Source organism: Homo sapiens, chromosome 15 (genome assembly GCF_000001405.40).
Source record: "Homo sapiens chromosome 15, GRCh38.p14 Primary Assembly".
Lineage (NCBI taxonomy): Eukaryota > Metazoa > Chordata > Mammalia > Primates > Hominidae > Homo > Homo sapiens.
In genome coordinates, this window is record NC_000015.10 from 44,718,916 (window position 1) to 44,740,762 (window position 21,847).

Genomic DNA, 21,847 nt, shown 5'->3' on the forward strand with positions numbered 1-21,847 from the left:
CTAGTTCTAGGTACTGACAGGATAAATAAAACACAACACTGCTCCCGATCTTCTCAGTTTAGCAGAGGGACAGATATGCACTCAAATAATTAAAATATATCCTGATAAGAATATAGCATAGGTACGCGCGAAGAACTTGGCAATCGAAATTTTGTTGTTCAGGCTGGGCGAGGTGTCTCATGTCTGTAATCCCAGCACTTTGGGAGGCCATGGTAGGATGATCGCTTGAGCCCAGGAGTCCGAGACCAGCCTGGGCAACATAACAAGACCCTGTCTCAATTCAAAGAATTGAATTAAAAAAAACAAAAAATAATTTTTTTAAAAAAGAAATGTTGTTGTTCAAGGAACAACAACAAAAATCTAGGGAGGTGTTAGAGAAGCCATTTGCCTGAGCTGAGAGTAAGTTGCTAGTGGTTCTCTTGATTGGTAGGTGGGGCCTGGGTTTCCAGGCATGGTAGCCAGGAAGGACAGCCACATGGCAGGTTTGGGTAATTCCAAACAGTGGAGGAAGGGTGTCTGGGGGAAGACTTGTAGGAACTCAGCTGAAAAAATTGGGGGATGATACTCTGAAAGAAAAACAAAGTTTTAAAATTTCTACTCTTACACTTAACACATAATGCTTCTGTGACCGGATATTTAGGGGTTTTCCCCCCACACTCTGTTAGGAGAAAAATTTTAGACAGATTAAATTTAACAGAGTTTAACTGAGCAAAAATGATTCTCGAACCAGGCAGCTGCCGGAGCCAGAATAGGTTCAAAATGACTCTGGGGGTGCCACATGGTTGGATGACATTTAGGGACAGAAAAAGGAAAGTGATGTGCAGAAAATGGAAGTCAGGGGCAGAAGCAGCCAGATTGGTTGCAGTTCAGCATTTGCCTCATTTAAACAGGGTTTGAAGAGTTGGCCACCTGTGATTGGCTGAGACTCTGTGGTATAAGAGTAAGTTACAGTCTGTTTACACATCCAGTTAGGTTACAGTTCACTATGCAGAGAGAAATCTTTAGCCTGAACTTACACAGGGAGGCAGTTTTATTTATTTATTTAATTTTTTTTTTTTGAGACAAGGTCTCACTCTGTCACCCGGGCTGGAGTTCAGTGGTATGATCATGGCTTATTGCAGCCTCGACTTCCTGGCCTCAAGCAATCCTTCCGCCTCAGGCTCTAGAGTAGCTGGGACTACAGGCACATGTCAGCATGCCTGGCTAATTTTGTTTTTTAATTTTTAGTAGAGATGAACTCCTGGCCTTGCACAATTCTTTCGCCTCAGCCTCCGAAAATGCTGGGATTACAGGTGTGAGCCACTGTGCCCAGCTAAGGCAACTTTAGGCTAAACCTTTTTTTGAGACAGAGTTTCTCTCTTGTTGTCTAGGCTGGAGTGCAGTTGCACCATCTTGGCTCACTGCAACCTCCACCTCCAGGGTTCAAGTGATTCTCGTTCCTCAGCCTCCCGAGTAACTGGGATTACAGGCATGCGCCACCACGCCTGGCTAATTTTGTGTTTTTAGTAGAGATGGTGTTTCACCATGTTGTCCAGGCTGGTCTCAAACTCCTGGCCTCAAGTGATCCTCTGGCCTCAGCTTCCCAGAGTACTGAGATTACAGGCATGAGCCACTGTGCCCTGCCTAGGCTAAACTTAATTTAACAACACCAAACAATCTCCAGCAGACACCAACTGGGTATCCCATAATTCAATTCGATTTTGATTGGATCTACCTGGAGATGGTGTCAGATCCCGCTGGTTGAGGGTTCAGTCCCACAAGACTGCCCTCCACTTCAGATGCCAATCACACATTGTAGGTTGTTACCTCTACTTCTGACTGACCAGCTGGAAACCAGAACTCCCATGACTGCCTCCTTGACTTTGGTTAATTTGCTAGGACAGTTCATATTTACCAATCTATTATAAAAGATTAAAGGCTACAGACGAATAACTAGATGAAAAGATGAATAGGGCTATATGTAGGGGGTTGTGGTGGTGACAGTCCATGCCCTCTCCAGGTGTATGCCACCCTCCCAGCACCTCCACACATTCAGCAAACAGGAAGCTCATCGTTCAAGAGTTTTTATAGAGCTTGATCTCCAGCTCCCCTTCACCTTCCCAGAGGTGGATGGGTGGGGGTGGAAGTTCCAACACACTAATCTTCTCATCACTTGGTCTTTCTGGTGACTAGCACCATCCTGAGGCTATCTAGGGGCCCAAACCTATGAGTATAACCTCATTAGCATATACTCAAGGGTTACCAAAGAGGCTTATTATTAATAATAAAAGACACTCCTATCACTCAAAATTCAAAGGATTTTAGGAACTTCTGACAGGAACTGGGGACAAAGACCAAATGTGTTTCATATTATACCACACTTACCTAGGCCATTCATTAACTCTTCACCTGGCTGCAAACTAAAATTACATGTAGAGTTTGTAAGAACAAAACAAACACACACACAGACACACACACACACACACACACACACACACACACACACACACAAAACAACAAGGCAGGCACGGTGGCTCACGCCTGTAAGCCCAACACTTTGGAAAGTCAAGGTGAGCAGATTACGAGGAGTTCAAGACCAGCCTGGCTAACATGGTGAAACCCTGTCTCTACTAAGAATACAAAAATTAGCCAGGCATGGTGGCACGTGCCTATAATCCCAGCTACTCAGGAGGCTGAGGCAAGAGAATCGCTTGAACCTCGGAGGCAGAGGTTGCAGTGAGCCGAGATCATGCCATTGCACTCCAGCCTGAGTGACAGAGTGAGACTCCATCTCAAAAACAGCAACAACAACAACAACAACAACAACAACAACAACAACAACTCACCAGCTTCCCAGACTCCCATCCAGGCCAATTAAACCATAATCTCTCGGTATGGAGCCCAGGTATAGTGTTATTTTTTAAAAAACCTCTAGATAGTTTTAATGTACATCCAAGATTGACAGACCCATTGAGTTCAGTCATAAAGAACTCTCTCTCCATTCCATATCATTCAACAGAGCTATTTTGTGAGGGGCTGCTCTGCTGGCTGATATTACAAGGTAATACTATGTCAAAGTCAAATGAAATATAGAGTTGAATCTCTGAAATTAAAATGTTTTATTTGGGAGGAAAGAATTGCAACTCAGGGCATACACACAGACCAGCTGGTCTTTGGCATGTCTGAAGTACAAAAAGGTTTTATAAAATGGGAAAATGTTACTTATCGCTCTGAGAAAATTTCACTGGTGCTAGTAAAGTTTTGAGGAGCTGGCAAGTTTTGATTGGCAAATGATGACAATAAACAGAACTAGTCTCAGAGTTGTAGCAGGTCATTTCAGTAGCCATTAGTTAAACCTGGTTTCAGATGATAGCAGGCAGTTTCAGCTTCCAGGCTTGCAGAAAATCGCATTTTTGGAACAATGTTTTGTGCCCTGAGTGCTTCTCCCTGGCTTCTTGACTCTGTTTTAGTTGAGTAAGACAAAAATGACCCAGTTTGATGACCAACTTTCACAGTTCCTTTGGAGCATGCCTTAGTTTCTCTTTTTAGAAGAGAGCAAGCAAAGAGGAGGAATACAGGAAGCTTAATTAACCTTATTAAATATAATTGTGCAATGCAAATTAAACTGAAAAGTCCCAACATCAGTAATAGAGAAGTAGATCCTACATACTGACATGGAAGCATACCCATACTATATTGCTGAAACAAAAATTAGTTTCTACAAAATATGTGTAAGAAGCCACTTTAAAAAAACAAACTAGGTGGGGCATGGTGGCTCACACCTGTAATCCCAGCATTTTTGGAGGCCAAGGTGGGAGGACTGCGTGAGCTAAGAAGTTTGAGACAAGCCTGGGCAACATAGTGAGACCCAGTCTCTCTCTCTATTTATGTATTTATTTATGTATGTACATATTTATTGATTTATTTATTTGAGACGGAGTCTTGCCCTGTCACCCAGGCTGGAGTGCAATGTCGTGATCTCAGCTCACTGCAACCTCCACCTCCCAGGTTCAAACGATTCTCCTGCCTCAGCCTCCTGAGTAGCTGGAATTACAGGCACCCGCCACCATACCCAGCTAATTATTTTTTGTATTTTTAGTAGAGACGGGATTTCATCATGTTGGTCAGGCTGGTCTCAAACTCCTGACCTCATGATCCACCCGCCTCGGCCTCCCAAAGTGCTGGGATTACAGGTGTGAGCCACCGCGCCCGGCCGAGACCCAGTCTCTTTAAAAAAAAATGGCTAACATGGTGAAACCCCATCTCTACTAAAAATACAAAAATTAGCTGGGTGTGGTGGTACATACCTGTAATCCCAGCTACTTGGGAGGCTGAGGCAGGAGAATCACTTGAACCCAGGAGGCGGAGGTTGCAGTGAGCGGAGATTGCATCACCGCACACTAGCCTGGGTGACAGAGCAAGACTTTGTCACACACACACACACAAAAAAGTGGACGCTTGCATCACTTGAGCCTGGGAGGTTGAGGCTGCAGTGAGCAGAGATCAGGACACTACACTCCAGCCTGGGTGATGAAGCAAGTCCCTCAAAAAGGAAAAAAAAAAAAAGTAGACCCTTGCACCCCAAATCTGTATTGTTCAAAGGTTAACTGTATCCTCCTTTAAAAAAGGGGTTACTGTTAAATAATAATTTTTATATCTTACTTTTTTTCATGATCCCTAAGGAAAACATGTCACAAATGGATATGTCTTTCTAGTTTTGTCAACAACCACTTTCACGGTATTTTTGGGCTGTTGCTTTTTACTTGTCATTTTTGTGTTGTAAACCCTTGAAGCAAAACTCAAGGTCTTTTCTTTTTTTCTTTTCTTTTCTTTTCTGAGACAGGGTATTACCCTGTCACCCAGGCTTGTGTGCAGAGGCACAATCTTGGCTCACTGCAGCCTCAGCCTCTTGGACTCAAGCAATCCTCCCATCTCAGCCTCCCAAGTAGCTGAGACCACAGGTGTGCACCACCCATTCCTGGCTAATTTTTTTTGTGTATTTTTTTGTAGAGATGGGGGTCTCACTATGTTTCCCTGGCTGGTCTTGAACTCTTGGGTTCAAGCGATCCTCCAGTCTCGCCTCTCAAAGTGCTGGGATTACAGAGCCACCACACTCAGCCATTTCCTATAATAAAAAAATATTTTGTCTGTGATGTAGCCATCAAAGTTTTAGGGGGAAAAATTGGCATTGTCTTTCCCTGGAGTCTAGACCTATAGGAAAAAAATTGAAGGCTAATATTTGGGTTCTAGATAACGCAAAATAAATAATAAAACATCTGTGATTACCTTGATTGAAAAGTTTGTGCATAGAAATTATTCTGGTACTTTGGAGAGCTACAAGAAGGCCTAACAGAAAAAAAAACTGATAAATACAATTAAAATAACAGTCGAGCATATATTAAAGCACTTACTATGCACTAAACTCTATATATCTCCTGTCATTAGTTGGATGCAATTATTAGACATCTTTGGTCCTCCACAACATAGGTGATTAAAAAGCCTAAGAAACTGAAGCGTTATCTATGTCTTTGGTAAGACACACAGGCCCAAGTGAAGCCTGCAATGATGTGCAGGCTTCCCCTCCCCCACGGACCACATGGACCACTTCCTCTTTTTTTTTTTTTTTTTTTTTCTTTAGACAGAGTCTCACTGTATCGCCTAGGCTGGAGTGCAGTGGCGCAATCTCGGCTCACTGCAACCTCTGCTTCCTGGGTTCAAGTGATTCTCCTGCCTCAGCCTCCCGAGTAGCTGGGAATACAGGCATGCACCACCATGCCTGACTAATTTTTTTATGTGTGTGTTTTTGGTAGAGATGGGGTTTCACCATGCTGGCCAGGCTGGTCTCAAACTCCTGACCTCGTGATCTGCTCGCCTTGGCCTCCCAAAGTGCTGGGATTACAGGCACTTCCTCTTTTTACTGTTTTCACTTAGAAAAACTGAGAGGACTTTTGCTGCCACTGAATGACACAGCATAGTTGAAGTGGTTTTCTCGTCATTTATTATGGCTCGAATGTTTGTCCCTTCTGAAATTCATGTTGAAACTTAATCCTGGCTGGGCACAGTGGCTCACACTTCTAATCCCAGCATTTTGGGAGGCTGAGACTGGAGGATCGCATGAGCCCAGGAGTTTGAGACCAGCCTGGGCAACATAGTGAGTCCTCCTCTCTACAAAATCAAACAAACAAAAATTAGCTGGGTGTGGTAGCACACACCTGTGGTCCCAGCTACTTGGAAGGCGGAGGCAGGAGGATTGTTTGAACCCAGGAGGAGTTTAAGAGCAGTCTGGGCAATATAGTGAGACCTCATATCTGTCTATCTATGTATCTATGTATCTATGTATCTATGTATCTATCTATCTATCTATCTATCTAAAATAAATTAAATTAAAAAATAAAAAATAATGAGGCAAAGAAAAGAAAGTTAATCCTCAATATAACAGTATTAAGAAGTAGGGCATTTAAGAGGTGACTGGGTCATGAGGGCTCCTTCATGAATGGATTAATGGATTAATGGGTTATCCTGAGAATGGGTCTGTTATAAAAGCCAGTTTCGCTCTTTCTCTTGTGCCCCTCTAAATCTTTATCTTTAGCCATGTTATGATGCCTCTCTGATATCTTTACCCATGTTATGATGCGGAACAAAGCCCTCACCCAAAGCAAACCAGATACAGCCCCTCAATGTTGAACTTCTCAGCCTCTTCCATACATTTTTCTTCCTTTCTTTTTTTTGAGATAGGATCTTGCTCTGCCATTGTGCCATTGCAGCCTCAAACTCTTGGGCTCAAGTGATCCTGCTGCTTCAGCATCCTGAGTAGCGGGGCTTACAGATGCACACCCCCATGCATCACTAATTTTTTTTTTTTTTTTTGAGATGGAGTCTTGCTAGGTCACCCAGGCTGGAGTGCAGTGGTGCGATCTCGGCTCACTGCAACCTCTGCCTCCTGGGTTCACACCATTCTCCTGCCTCAGCCTCCCAAGTAGCTGGGACTACAGGTGCCTGCCACCACGCCAGGTTAATTTTTTGTATTTTTAGTAGAGACAGGGTTTCACCGTGTTAGCCAGGATGGTCTCGATCTCCTGACCTCATGATCCACCCATCTTGGCCTCCCAAAGTGCTGGGATTACAGGCATGAACCACTGCGCCCGGCCGCATCGCTAGTTTTTAAAAACTTTTTGTAGAGACAGATTCTTACTATGTTGCCAAGGCTGGTCTCAAACTCCTGGCCTCAAGAGATCCTCCAGTCTTCGGCCTCCCAAAAAGATGGGATTACAGGCATGAGCCACCTCACCTGGCCTCTTTTTTTTGTATATTACCTGATCTCAGGTATTCTGCTATAGCAACAGAAAGACGAAGACAGAATCCTTAGCTGTCTGCAAGTGTGCATGCCATTTTCATCATCTGAAGAGTCAGCGAGTGTCTTAGGTGGAGTCTTGCAAAAGCAGGCCCTGAGCCAAAGATTTGGATGCAAATGACTTGTTAAGAAAGGGCTCTTCGAGACCGTGCCATTGCACTCCAGCCCGGGCAAGAAGAGTGAAACTCTGTTTCAAAAAAAAAAAAGTGGGGGGCTCCTAGGAAAAGAACAGTAAAGGAGTGGGGGATGAAGGACAGGGAATGGGAAGAAGCCAAGCGAGAGCATGATTTCCGAAGTCCTACACTCAGCCTGATCACACGGGAAGCTTTAGAACAAAGAACACACCTCAGAGTTTTTCCTGCCTCAACACAAAGGAGCTGGGCTTTGGTGCTCTTCATCAGCCTGTCTTTGGCTATCCAGGGTTGTGGAACGAGGTGAAACATAAAACTCCGAGGTACTTCCGGCTCCCTCCAGTGTCTGAGGGTAATCTGCAGGACTGAGGGTAATTGCAGATGCTAGCTGTTAGCAGCAAACTATGCAAAAGCTGAGGACTGGCTTATAAAGCCAGATCTGGGTGAGTCATGTTTCCTGTCAACATCCTCTGCTGGGCCCATAACACATGCAACCCCAAACTTCCATTACAAGTTCAAAGTTTCTAAGGGGATAGCATTACAGTGTGTATGATATTGGACTCAGACCTGAGTTTGAATCCTAATTCCACAAAAGAAATTGGAAAAGAGTCATATTGCTGACTTGACCCTTTGTCACCATATCCATAAAATGGGATAATTATTCCTATATCATAAATTTACTTATTTATTCACTTAGTCATTTGTTAAATAAATATGGAGTGTCTACTTTGTGCCGGGCACTCTTTTTAGGGTGGTTCTGAGAAGGGGATGGCAATGAGAAGGGCTCTCTAAGATGCAAGACTCCAGGCAACTGCTTTTACTTCCAGTGGTTCTTTATTTTCACAGCTCATTAGAGCAAATTACCACAGCAGGGAGATACAGGTTGAGTATCCCTTATCCGAAAAGCCTGGCACCAGAAGTGTTTTAAATTTTGGATTTTTTTTTGATTTTTGGAATATTTGTTAATTATCAGTTGAGCATCTCTAATGTGAAAATCTAAAATCCAAAATGCCCCAGTGACCCTTTCCTTTGAGCATCATGTTGGTGCTCAAAAAGTTTGAGATGTTGGAGCATTTAGGATTTCAGATTTTTGGATTAAGGATACTCATTTTGTACAATGGAAAACTTCTTGGCACTAATCTGATGAAAGAAGAAACTACGGGAGAATCCCTTTCCCTAAAAGGCTTTCAGTAACAAGATGGCCCTGACTCATTCTGGACAGTTCCTCCAAAGGTAGGCCTACAGGTAGAACTCTTTTCTGGCAGCATAGGGGTTTTCCAGAATGAAGGTGTATTTTTTTTTTACTGAGGCCAGGAAAGGTGAAGAGAATGAAGGGTTCCTAGTGACGATGCAGCAACCAAGTCATTTATGTAATGGAGCCTTATCTGACAGATTTCTAGGATAGAAACTCAGTATCCAAGCTCAGGCTTGGCAGACTGAGGTGGGCACCGTCCCCAGGATTGCAGTGTGGATTAGAGGTTTCAACCCCAATCATATTCAACAGCTCCCTTTCCCCCAACAACCCCTTTTTATAACAATTGTTTTGTGGTGATTCTTTTACTAATATGATCATGAAAATTAAGTAATTTAGCTTGTGAATGCTCTAGCTTGGCTGCACTGCTGGTATAAAGAAGTGCCAGACACTTGCAACTGCCTAGGATCTCTGTGAACCAGCGGCATGGAAGACTGAGAGGCACGCTGGATTGATGGCTCAGATTCAAGTATGGTATTGCAGGTTCTGGTGTAATTTTCTAAAATGGCGAAAATCTCTAGGTAAAACTCCAAAAATAAAAAACCAACATACATCTTCCTTTGAGTTACCTGGTAGTTATATTCCTGGAAAATTCAGTGTATATGAGCCTGAGGTAGTAGATGGTCAATAAATACTCAAGAAATAAAAAAATAAAAAAATATAAAAATATAAAACACATTTCTTACATGTCCTTGGTGCTTGTAAGCCCAGATTATATGCAGGCTTTTTTTTGGACGGAGTCTCTGTTGCCCAGGCTGGAGTGAAGTGGCGAGATCTGGGCTCACTGCAACCTCCACCTCCTGGGTTCAAGCGATCCTCCTGCCTCAGCCTCCTGAGTAGCTGGGATTACAGGCACGCGCCACCACCCTCAGCTGATCTTTGTATTTTTAGTAGAGAAGGGGTTTCACCATGTTGGCCAGGCTGATGTAGAACTCCTGACCTCAAGTGATCCGCCCACCTCGGCCTCCCAAAGTGTTGGGATTACAGGCGTGAGTCACAGCGCCCGGCTGCTTTTTTATACATTAAGTGTGCTTGCAGAGGACTGCGACCTCTGGCCCTCGGCCTCTTAATAAATACTCCAAGTGACTTCATTGGAACAACCACTGAGAATCACTTATCTAGAGAGTGGGAAGTTGCTGATCTCATCACTGCATGGGGTGGGGTGAGGGAAGCAACCCTGCCCTTCCCCTTTCTCGGAAAGCAGCTGGCTTTGAAGAAAGAGAAACCAGGACGGGAAAGTCCTGATTTCTAATCTGAAACAGCGCTTTTTGTCCAGAGACCGGTGACGAGCGACCCTGGGCTCGGGTTTTGATTGGGCAGTTCGGAAACTGTAAAAGCGAATTAAAAGGGTGACAAGCTAGTGTTTTAGCCTATCCAGTTCCGGGAGTTTGCACGCAGACGCTCTGCTTCGTGACCTTGGCTCTGCTCTGTGGGCGCCGCCCCCAGCCTGGGCGCGTCCATCGTCGAGTACCTTCTCCTCTGCCTCCCCCTCCCTCTGCTTCTATCTCTCTCCAATTGCCCTCCCTGGCCTGCGGCCGCCCGGTCCTCCTTCCCAGCCCAGTGCAGCCAGGCACCCGGGTTCGGCTTGCTCAGGTCTCTGTCCGGGACTGGGAAGCCACGGAGGGCCGGGAAAGTGGCACACTCCTGGAGCTCAAGCTTCCTACTCTCTCATCGCTGAATAACTACCGGGCAGGACTGGGTGGAACAGACAGCATATTTAGGTCATTGATGGGCTGCTGGGTGGATGGAGCTGGAAAGTGATGGGCACTGCTTTCTGGGGCTGCCCAGGTTCCTTCCGAGGGCTCGCTTTTCCTGGGCAGAGCGGGAAAGAGGAGGGGCAGGCCGGTCGCGAAACGCAAATAGTCGAGAATAGCGATCCGGGGAGAAGCAGGTGTCTGTGGGGCCCAAGAGAAGTACCATCTCGGTAAGTAGGCCGGTGCATGCAGGGGAGCGCAGAGCCCTAAGCCCTTCTCTGGGGTCCGCCCGTTTTCCTGCTGGGCTTCTCATTTCCTCACTAGGTTCTACGGTTTGCCGATCTAAATCCAGTTCGTGTCCTATTGTATTGTGTAACATTTTTGGCAGCTTACATCTTTGTTTATTGAGATATAGTTCACAAACCATACAATTAACATATTTAAGTGTACATTTCAGTGGGTTTTAGTATATTCACAGGGTTGTGTAACCACCTCAATTTTAGGACATTTTCGTCACTCCCAAAAGAAATTTTGTACCAGTTCGGTGTCACTCCCATTTCTCCCAAACCCCTAGTCCTAGGAAACCACCAATCTTTCTGTCTCTATGGGTTTGCCTATTAGTATTTCATAGAAACAGAAACATATAATATGTGGTCTTTTGTAACTGGCTTCTGTTTTCAAAGGTCGTCATATTGTAGCAAGGATCAGTTCTTCATTCCTATTTATTGATGAATATTACTCTACTGTATAGATATACTAAGTTTTGTTTATCCATCTATAGTTAATGGGCATTTGGATTGTTTCCACTCTTCGGCTACTGAGAATAAAATGTGGTTATCAATATTCATGTATAAATTTTTGGTGTGGACATAGATTTTCAATTCTCTTGAGTATATATGCAGGAGTGGAATTGCTGGGTGATATGGTAACTCTATGTTTAATCTTTTAAGGAACTACTAGGCTGTTCTCCAAAGCTGAATGTACCATTGTGTATGAGAGTTCCAATTTTTCTACATCCTCACCAATACTTTTAATCTTTTTTTATTATAACCATTCTAGTGGATACGAAATGGTATCTCTTTATGGTTTTGATTTGTATTTCCCTAATGACTATGCATTATTTTAAAATTATAAGCTAATTAATTTTTACAAAGATTTACATGCTGTGATTTTGACAACTTAACTTCTAGGTCACATGCTCAAAAGTCACAGAGCCTAGACCCAAACCAAGCCTTTCTATGGCTAATGCTCGAACTCCATCCTCTCTTTCCTAGAAGGCAATCTGGGATAAATTTTTCAGAACTCCATTTGTTGCCTCTGTTAGAAAGAAAACACTGGGCAAGATGAACCTGCAAGTAGAGTAAATGGTTTATTTCTTATTTGCTTTTAGGAGTATGTAAGGAGATTTTTTGGTCTCCCGTTTTTACTTTATAAAAAATGAGTGAGTGGGCCAAGCGCTGTGGCTCATGCCTGTGATCCCAGCACTTTGGGAGACCGAGGCAGGCAGATCACCTGAGGTCAGGAGTTTGATATCAGCCTGACCAACATGGCAAAACCCCATCTCTGCTAAAAATACAAAAATTAGCCGGGTGTAGTGCCATGCACCTGTAATTCCAGCTATATGGGAGGCTGAGGCATGAACATTGCTTGAACCCCGGGGAGACGGAGGTTGCAGTGAGCCAAGATTGCACCACTGCACTCCAGCCTGGGTGACAGAGTGAGGCTCTTTCTCAAAAAAAAAAAAAAGGAAAGAGAAAGCTCTTAATTGAAGTAGTAACCCTTTCTTGGGTGTTCAATGATATTGTGCTTCTCTTCATGTAAGTGCCCCTTAGATTCCTCCTCCTCACTACCATCAGGTCATAGAATAGGGAGGGGCACTCAGTTTCAACAGCAGTGGCCTCCAAATTTTGTTCAAATGCATAACTATAAAAAGTTTTTTGTATACATTCTCTATATATAGCTATACATTTTATACATACACTACTATCAGTCTTGATTTAGACATTACTAAAGCTTAATTTTTCTCTCATTTTTTTTCAGTTAAAAATTCAGATTGAACTATCTTACAAATGGCTCCCAGAAGATCCACTCCCTGTGGGAACACAGCAGTTGTGGAAGTGAAGACAGGACTGGACCCAGAATAAGGGTTCAAATATGTGGGGAAATCTGACCTCTAAATTCTTATAAGTCAGAGAGTGACTGAACAACAGCAGTGAGACATCGAAGAGTTTTAATATCTGCTGTAAACCTTGGCACAGATCATTTACTTCTCTAAGACTGAATCCAAAAAGCACAATGGAATACTATAATAAGCTGAGACAGCATGGTGAATTCCAGACAAGCCTGAGCATTCCCTATAGCCAGAGAAGGAGGCCCAACACCTAACATAGCCTTGGATGCAGAACTGATAGAACTTGGGGAAAGTGATGAAGTAGTTGACCTCACCTGTGAATCTCTAGCACCTGTAGTGATTGACCTAACTCACCGTGACTCTGTAGTGATTATTGAACAAAGGAGGAGGCCAAGAGCAAACACAAGGCCACTCCAAGACCACACTGGCAGTTGTGTGGTGAACAATGATGAGGAGGGAGTGAAAAGGGACAGAGATGTATGTATAACCAACAGTGCCCACCATAATTCCCTGCAAAAAAATTTTTTTTGTCATATACTACCTGGTTATATTCAGTGTCAAGTTTGCATGGATGGATGCTCAGAGATTGAACTTAGTATACAACACATCTACTCTATAGAATGTGGCCACATCTGTAGTCAGTGCTTCTGCACTTCCTTTACACATACTAACACTGCCCAGTTTGTTTGAAAAAAATCAGCCTCCATCAGTATCACTGCAGTTATATATGATGTATGCCTTATTGCTCAAGACAGATCCTGTGGCTGGATTTTTCCATGTCTTTGTGCAGGAACTATGGGTTGTTGGCATCCAATGCTCTGAGCTTAAAAATACTGATTTTTAAAATTGCTATCTGCAGTATATAAGAAACTCTTTGATTTCTCATATGCTCTGAGACTGCTTTTTGTTTCCTTTGGTTTTATGCTTCAGCTCTGGACTTCAGTTGCCAGAGTGTGCCAGATACTGGGGTCGTCCTTAAAGCAACTTTCCCTTTCTTATAGTCATCAATTTTTAGTTGGCCACATGTGGACATTCTGGACCACATAAATAAAGACAACACCCTAGAGATGGTGAAGTAAGTTGTAAACTAAAATCCTAAGCCCCCTAATTGACTGAATGGAACCCCTCTTGACCAAAGTGACCCCAGAAAAACCTTAAAACTGAGTTCCTGGCCATGACGGGATGGGAGGTCAGACACGCTTCATTATATCTCCGTCTCTTTTATGGTTTAGACACAACAACTGACCAGCATTAATGTCAAAATAAAGATCATAAGGCTGACAGAATAGACCCTTTGTGGCAATAACAAATTATTCGTAAGATCTAAGGTCATGCCAGGCAAGTGTTATGTCATGCACTCCTACACTTAAAGAATAAACTATGTTCTAACTGCCACAAGATTTTCTATTTATTTATTTATTTATTTATTTTTTGAGACGGAGTTCTGCCCTGTCAGTTTTTCTTTTTGTTTAGCAGCTAAACAAGCACCAGCTGAGATAAGCAATTTTTTTTTTTTTTTTTTTTTGAGTCAGAGTCTTGCTCTGTCGCCCAGGCTGCAGTGCAGTGGCCCGATCTCGGCTCACTGTGAGCTCTGTCTTCTGGGTTCATGCCATTCTCCTGCCTCAGCCTCCCAAGTAGCTGGGACTACAGGCACCCACCACCACGCCCCGCTAATTTTTTTGTATTTTTAGTAGAGATGGGGTTTCACCGTGTTAGCCATGATGGTCTCCATCTCCTGACCTTGTGACCTGCCTGCCTCGGCCCCCCAAAGGGCTGGGATTACAGGCGTGAGCCACCGCACCCAGCCACTTTCTCTTGATAAGAAGACCACTGACTATGGGCTGGTTCTGGCCAGTTTATAGAGGCTAAGCACCCTTGTTCCTTCCTGTCCTGAACAGGCATTTTGACTTATAGGGTCTAATTGTTATGCATTTAAGTGTTAAGTCTCCACCTTAGGCCTGGCGTGGTGGCTCACGCCTGTAATCCCAGCACTTTGGGAGGCTGAGGTGGGTGAATCACTTGAGGTCAGGAGTTTGAGACCAGCCTGGCCAACATGGCAAAACCCCGTCTCTACTAAAAATACAAAATTAGCTGAGTGTGGTGGTGCACGCCTGTAATCCCAGCTACTTGGGAGACTGAGGAAGGAGAATCATTTGAACCTCAGAGGCAGAGATTGCAGTGAGCTGAGATGGCGCCACTGCACTCCAGTCTGGGTGACAGAGTAAGACTCCGTCGCGAAAAACAAAAAACAAACAATAACAACAACAAAAAGAGTTAAGTCTCCACCTCAAAGTGAACATGGGTTGTATGTTACATGCATGTTTGTTCAATAAGCATGAGTCAGGATGACCTTCATAATTATTCATAGCTCCTCCTGTAACCTGTTGAATATGTATGTTTAGCCAACCTATTCAGCATCAAGTTCCTACCCCTGCTCCTCCTTTGAAGTGCCTGTCTCTGGTCTTTGCCAGAGATTGTACTTCCTGGCCTGTGGGATGGCCACCTTGCAGGCCTTTAACGCTTTATAAGAAATAAAGTCTCCTCTCCAAATTTATGGATGTTGTGAGTTCTGTGTTAACAAAGTAGAGAGAAGGAATTTGGGAGACTGACAACTTTGCAAACCAGAGCCACTATAGAAGTTTGGACTTTTACTTAAGAGAGAAATAAATTTCATTCTTGCTTAAGCAACTTTTATACTGGGTATATTAGTCAGGTTGACATACAAAATTAACCATCACTCTGGGTCTCGTTTACAGCAATGGAATTTTTTTATTTTTTATTTTTATTTTTTGAGACAAGGTCTTACTCTGTCAACCATGCTGGAGTGCAGGGATATGATCATGGCTTACTGCAGCCTCGACCTCCTGGGCGCAAATGATCCTCCCACCTCAGCCTCCTGAGTAGCTGGCACCACAGGCACGTGCCAACATGCCTGGCTAATTTTTAAATTTTTTGTAGGGACAGGGTCTCGCCATCTTGCCCAGGCTGGTCTTGAACTCCTGGGCTCAGGTGATCCTCCCACCTTGGCCCCCCAAAGTGCTGAGATTACAGGCATGAGCCACCATGCCTGGACACTGTTTTTAAATAGTGAAAAAAAGACTTGAAGTACTCTTTGTGAAGATTGAGACTTCTTGCTACATAGGATTTGGAATCACAGGCTTCTAGAGACAGAAGGGGGTCTTAGGAATTCACATTTTAAAGAAGGAGGAACTGACACCCATAGGAGTTAAATGTCTTAGCTAAGGCTATTCAGTGCTCTGGTGGTGAGAGACAAGGCTTCCATCTTCTAGGCCAGTACTCTTACCCCTAGGCTAAAGGTTCAAAAATGTGCAGGCGCTGGCTTTAGTAAAATCAGCTATACTAAGCATTGTCAAATGTTTTAGCCAACAACAAAAACAATCAAGATGAAACAAAATTACTTTTTTGACTAAGTGATCACCAGCATTTCATAGACATTTATCTGACAAAGGTTTTGATCTAACAAATGCCATGTATTGCCAAGGTGAGCAAGATACAGTACTACCTATCCTGTGGTTTGTTCACAACTTAGTGGAGGGGCAGACATGCAATCAAACAATTAGAATACACTCTGTTAAAGCCACGTGTACAAAGATCTAGGGTGCTATAGAAATGTGTAAAACTAGGCCAGGCGTGGTGTTGCTCACACCTGTAATCCTAGCACTTTGTGAGGCTGAGGTGGGAGGACAGCTTGAGCTCAGAAATTTGAGATCAGCCTAGGCAACATAGTGAGACCCTGTCAGAAAGAAAAGAAAAAAGAAAAGAAAAGAAGGAAAGAAAGAGAAAGAGAAAGAAAGGGAGAAAGAAAGAAAGAGAGCAAGAGAGAAAGAAAGAGGAAAAAGAAAGGAAGAAAGAGAAAGAAACAGAGAGAGAAAGAAAGGGAGAAAGAAAACAGAAAGAGAGAGAAAGAAAGAAAGAGAAAGAAAAAAAGAAAGAGGAAAGAAGGAAGGAAGGAAGGAAGGAAGGAAAGAAGGAAGGAAGGAAGGAAGGAAGGAAGGAAGGAAGGAAGGGAGTAAAGCTGTGTTTCTCAACTGGGGAGTGATTCCAACCCCTGCCCCCAGGAGACATTTGGCAATGACTGGAGACATTTTTGTTATGACTGGGTTTGGTGGGGGGGGGGTGGCTACAGGCATCTAGTGTGTAAACGCCAGGGACACTGCTAAATATCCTAAAATTCACAGGACAGCCCCTCTAACGTAAGACTTAGCAGGCCCAAAATATCAATAGGGCTGAGGTTGGTAACCTCTGGTATAGAGCCAGCAAAATATCTTCTACAAGAGACAGGGAAGTGGGTAAAGCTTGGTTTGGGGATGAGGGGGTGGTTAGGGAAGAGTTTAGTAAAGAGATAATGACGGGGGTGTGGGGGAAGGGAAACTCCCATCCGAAGGGACAACATATACAAAGCTGCAGAAGCGTGACATATTTGGGCGATCCCAAACACTGGGGAAAGAGCTGTGGTCATTAAGTCTGGACAGCTAGGCAGGAGCTAGACGTGCAAGAAATCATATTGAGTTAGAGGAACTACTGTAAGAAAAACTGTTTGGCTCTGTGGTGGCTCTTTATAAGTCACTCAGGAGCACAGTGTTGGTACATCTCTCTGCGAGCTAAAACTGCTGAAGAAAGCTGTATGAAATGAAGCTTTTTTCATCCTGCTTTCTTAGGGCCTGGTGTTTCCCAGGCCTGTGTTACTGTCTCAGAGATAAAATCAGGGCTGCTTCATTGGAATATGAGAGGTGAACTAGCTCTCTATTAAAGCCACTCAGCTGGTGTCTTGATGGTGTGATGGGATCATGAACAGGGGTGAGGTGGTTATTTTTCATGAGTTAGGCTTAATATAGGCTGCTGCTGACGTGTATTTCCTCTTTCATAGAGCATCCTTAGTCCAGAAATGGGGAGCTATGAACCTTAAGATTAGACCACTAACTCGAATCTAAATGAGCTGCCCTTGTCTCCTACAAAAGAAAAGTTGGGCAGGTAGGGTATTCTAATGAGGGTTTCTCTTTCTCTTAAGCAAATGATGATCAAAGTTAACTGACAAACTGTCACGGAATCTGCCAGACCTCACTCTGGCCTTGCTGCTTCTCTCCAGCTCCTGAACTTTTCTTTCTTCCATCATGCTCTGAGCCCATTCCTTGAAAACTAAAAGGTCCCTGACTCCCAGTCTGCAGCCATCCTGGGCCTGCTGAGCTCTGATTCAAGTGCCTGCCTCTGCCCCTTGGTGGGCTGAAGCTTCATGGAGGTGAGTGACCCTTTTTTTTTTTAACTTAGCAGGGCTTCTAGGAATAGTGTGGAAAACAGGATCATAGAAGAGGATATGGATTTAGGAGCACAAAAGGAAATTCATGAAGGGAAGTATTTAACTTGTGACAGCTGGTAGCTACTATACTCTCTCCAAGCCTTGGAATAACTGATAATTTATACTAGAGAAGCTGGTAGGAAAGTAATGAAATCCACCAAAACATTTTGAGAAAAAATAAACTATATACTATATACAATTTACTTTCATTATCAATGTAATCATTTTATTTTAGATTTAAAAATTATTATGTATAACTTGGTTTGCTTACAATACCTTCACATTTGATTATTTTATATTTAAGGCAGAGTTGATACTTAGATAGTAAACATTTTTAATTGAATTCTTCCTTTAAGACCTCTTCAGAGCTAAAATAAAGGAAGTTATGTTCTTCTGAACTTAGTGTTTTCCTGATTGTCAAACAAAAGAAAATGGTTATTTACTACATGAAAGCTTGAAAAACTCACTAAGGGTTTTTCAGGGGCCCTTGAATCCTGAGTTATCATCCATTTCCACTAGTTTCCACTTCTTATAAAGTTTAATTTCATTATATTAATCATTAAGATCAGTTTCTAATTTCCTCTATCATAGGACCTTTAGGTTTGCTGCTACTCATCTCTGTGCTTAGCTATTGAAGCAAACAGGGCTATAAGCATTTTGTTTATAATTTCTAGGGCAAAAATAAACACTATTGCCTAAACCTACTATATTCTTATTACTTTAAGGCCAAGTCAGTGAAAATAGACACTTTTCCATAATAGTAAAAAAATTGTTTGTGTGATAGTGAGTTTCCCATTACTTCAGATGTTCAGGCAGAGGTTGGAAAGGAGTGAATTAAATGGCTTAAAATTTCTTTCAACTCTGGGAAGCTCCAAGAAGTCAGAAAGTTCAGAATCTTGCCTTCTTATGTGCAAATGGCTTGACTCGTGAAGCAGGAGTGTGTCTTGCTCTTAGGTTTAAGCTGGCTGTGCTATATAGTTTGTCTCTGTGGATGAACTGTATTTTTCTGCTCTCAAAGTTAATTCTTCATAAAAACTGCCCATCAAAGTTTAAAAATTACTTTGAAGGAATAAAGGTTGAAAAGCAACAAATGAACTCTCCTTAGATATCTTAACTATGATTTCAAAAATTTACAACACAAAACTTCTCAGGAAAAAAAAATCTCTGGTAAAAATTAAGGATTTCTTATGCAAGCTTCCATGGACTTCATAGCTCTTTGCCTTTTCTCTGCTCTTTGAGAATGTGCACAGTGAACTGAAGGAGGAAGATACATACTTTCTTTCTTTCTTTTTTTTTTTTTTTTTTTTTTAGGACAGAGTCTCACTCTCTTGCTCAGGCTGGAGTGCAGTGGCACCATCTCAGCTCACTGCAACCTCCGCTTCCAGGGTTCAAGTGATTCTCATGCCTCAGCATCCCAAATAGCTGGGACTGCAGGGACGCACCACCACGCCTGGCTAATTTTTGTATTATTATTTTTTTTTTTAGTAGAGATGAGGTCTCACCATGTTACCCAGGCTTGTCTCCAACTCCTGACCTCAGGTGATCCTCCTGCCTCAGCCTCCCAAAGTGAGGCTAAGATTACAGGCCTGGGCCATCGTGACCTGCTGATGTGCTTTCTTATAAAGTGATTCCTGCCAGCCAGGGCTTTATAAGGATGAATATCAATTCCTGACTCGAGTTTCTCTCTCTCTGCCTTAAGGTTAGACTTCTTCCCCTAAAAGGGGCTGGCAGTAGATGTGTTTCCTAAAAGATTTCCAGGTCCAGAAATTTTAGACTCTCATTTGGTTTCCAATTCTATAGCTCCCTCTAGAGCAGTAGGAAGTTATTGCAGATATTTTGCTTCACAAATTTGATCCATTTAATAAATTCAATTCCACAAAACATATTGATGGGCTCTCTGCTGACTCAGTGGTTAATAGGCTTTGGGGTCAAATAAAGAGTTCAAATCTGAGACCCACTACTTAATAATTGTGACTCTGGGAAGATACTTGAAGCAATCTGAGCTTCAGTTTCCTTAAAATATGTAGTAATAATACGTATTTCATAGGGTTGTTCTGAGATTAAATGAAATAATGTATGTAAATCCTCTTCCACAGTGAATGCTCAGTAAATATTAGCTAATATAATTAATCCCTTGTTTTACAGAAAAGGATATATTATTGAAAGTCAGGGGAATTGGCAAACCCTCAGCTAGCAAGATGAATTAACCATATAAAACCAGTCAATCATATAATATCAATAATTAATAACATTAAATATATTTTCATATCATATAACTCACCCTTTTGAAGTTTACAATTCAGTGATTTATAGCATATTCACAAAGTTGTACAATTATCACCACTATCTAATTCCAGAACATTTTCATTATCCCCAAAAGAAATTCCATACCCATTATCAGTCACTTCCCGTTCCTCTTTGCCCTGCCTTGGTAACCGCTATATATTTTAAACATACTTTAAAAACACACGGAGGGGGCAGCCAAGATGGCTGAATAGGAACAGCTCTGGTCTACAGCTCCCAGCGTGAGCGATGCAGAAGACGGGTGATTTCTGCATTTCCATCTGAGGTACCAGTTTCATCTCACTAGGGAGTGCCAGACAGTGGGCGCAGGACAGTGGGTGCAGCGCACCGTGCGTGAGCCGAAGCAGGGCGAGGCATTGCCTCACTCGGGAAGCGCAAGGGGTCAGGGAGGTCCCTTTCCTAGTCAAAGAAAGGGGTGACAGACGGCACCTGGAAAATTGGGTCACTCCCACCCTAATACTGTGCTTTTCCGACGGGCTTAAAGAACGGTGCACCAGGAGATTATATCCTGCACCTGGCTCGGAGGGCCCTACGCCCATGGAGTCTCGCTGATTGCTAGCACAGCAGTCTGAGATCAAACTGCAAGGCGGCAGCGAGGCTGTGGGAGGGGCGCCCACCATTGCCCAGGCTTGCTTAGGTAAACAAAGCAGCCGGGAAGCTCGAACTGGGTGGAGCCCACCACAGCTCAAGGAGGCCTGCCTGCCTCTGTAGGCTCCACCTCTGGGGGCAGGGCACAGACAAACAAAAAGACATCAGTAACCTCTGCAGACTTAAATGTCCCTGTCTGACAGCTTTGAAGAGAGCAGTGGTTCTCCCAGCACGCAGCTGGAGATCTGAGAATGGGCAGACTGCCTCCTCAAGTGGGTCCCTGACCCCTGACCCCCTAGCAGCCTAACTGGGAGGCACCCCCAAGTAGGGGCAGACTGACACCTCACATGGCCGGGTACTCCTCTGAGACAAAACTTCCAGAGGAATGATCGACAGCAGCATTCGCGGTTCACGAAAATCCACTGTTCTGCAGCCACCGCTGCTGATACCCAGGCAAACAGGGTCTGGAGTGGACCTCTAGCAAACTCCAATAGACCTGCAGCTGAGGGTCCTGTCTGTTAGAAGGAAAACTAACAAACAGAAAGGACATCCATACCAAAAACCCATCTGTACATCACCATCGTCAAAGACCAAAAGTAGATAAAACCGCAAAGATGGGGAAAAAACAGAGCAGGAAAACTGGAAACTCTAAAAAGCAGAGCGCCTCTCTTCCTCCAAAGGAACGCAGTTCCTCACCAGCAACAAAACAAAGCTGGATGGAGAATGACTTTGACAAGTTGAGAGAAGAAGGCTTCAGATGATCCAACTACTCCGAGCTACAGGAGGAAATTCAAACCAAAGGCAAAGAAGTTAAAAACTTTGAAAAGAATTTAGATGAATGTATAACTAGAATAACCAATACAGAGAAGTGCTTAAAGGAGCTGATGGAGCTTGCTGTATTCAGGAAACCCATCTCACATGCAGAGACACACATAGGCTCAAAATGAAAGGATGGAGGAAGATCTACCAAGCCAATGGAAAACAAAAAAAGGCAGGGGTTGCAATCCTAGTCTCTGATAAAACAGACTTTAAACCAACAAAGATCAAAAGAGACAAAGAAGGCCATTACATAATGGTAAAGGGATCAATTCAACAAGAAGAGC

The 21,847-nt window shown here is 43.3% G+C and overlaps 1 protein-coding gene and 1 pseudogene across 6 annotated transcripts in view, besides 3 other annotated features; both read left to right on the top strand.

Moving 5' to 3' along the window:
- Positions 7,676-7,970: an enhancer, noted in NCBI's record as "tiled region #1044; HepG2 Activating DNase unmatched - State 1:Tss, and K562 Activating DNase unmatched - State 5:Enh". NCBI's record gives its function as "activates a minimal TATA promoter and a strong SV40 promoter by Sharpr-MPRA in HepG2 and K562 cells {active_cell/tissue: HepG2 | K562}" and the evidence as "EXISTENCE:reporter gene assay evidence [ECO:0000049][PMID:27701403]".
- Positions 8,994-9,981: an enhancer, noted in NCBI's record as "H3K27ac-H3K4me1 hESC enhancer chr15:45020107-45021094 (GRCh37/hg19 assembly coordinates)". NCBI's record gives its function as "activates a minimal SCP1, AML or CMV promoter by ChIP-STARR-seq in naive H9 embryonic stem cells {active_cell/tissue: H9 hESC(naive)}" and the evidence as "EXISTENCE:reporter gene assay evidence [ECO:0000049][PMID:30033119]".
- Positions 9,982-10,967: an enhancer, noted in NCBI's record as "H3K27ac-H3K4me1 hESC enhancer chr15:45021095-45022080 (GRCh37/hg19 assembly coordinates)". NCBI's record gives its function as "activates a minimal SCP1, AML or CMV promoter by ChIP-STARR-seq in naive H9 embryonic stem cells {active_cell/tissue: H9 hESC(naive)}" and the evidence as "EXISTENCE:reporter gene assay evidence [ECO:0000049][PMID:30033119]".
- Positions 10,073-13,936, top strand: RNF4BP (ring finger protein 4B, pseudogene; annotated as a pseudogene). Its single transcript, NR_125376.1, has 2 exons — positions 10,073-10,637; positions 12,448-13,936. The product of NR_125376.1 is annotated as a ring finger protein 4B, pseudogene (transcript).
- TRIM69 (tripartite motif containing 69) overlaps positions 17,613-21,847 on the top strand; it is a 31,300-nt gene continuing 27,065 nt past the window's right edge. For all 5 annotated transcript variants that reach the window (NM_182985.5, NM_001301144.2, NM_001301145.2 and 2 more), the window contains exon 1: positions 17,613-17,795. In NM_182985.5, the coding sequence (NP_892030.3) occupies positions 17,790-17,795 (6 nt within the window). In that variant the 5' untranslated portion in view covers positions 17,613-17,789. The remainder of the gene's footprint in view (positions 17,796-21,847) is intronic.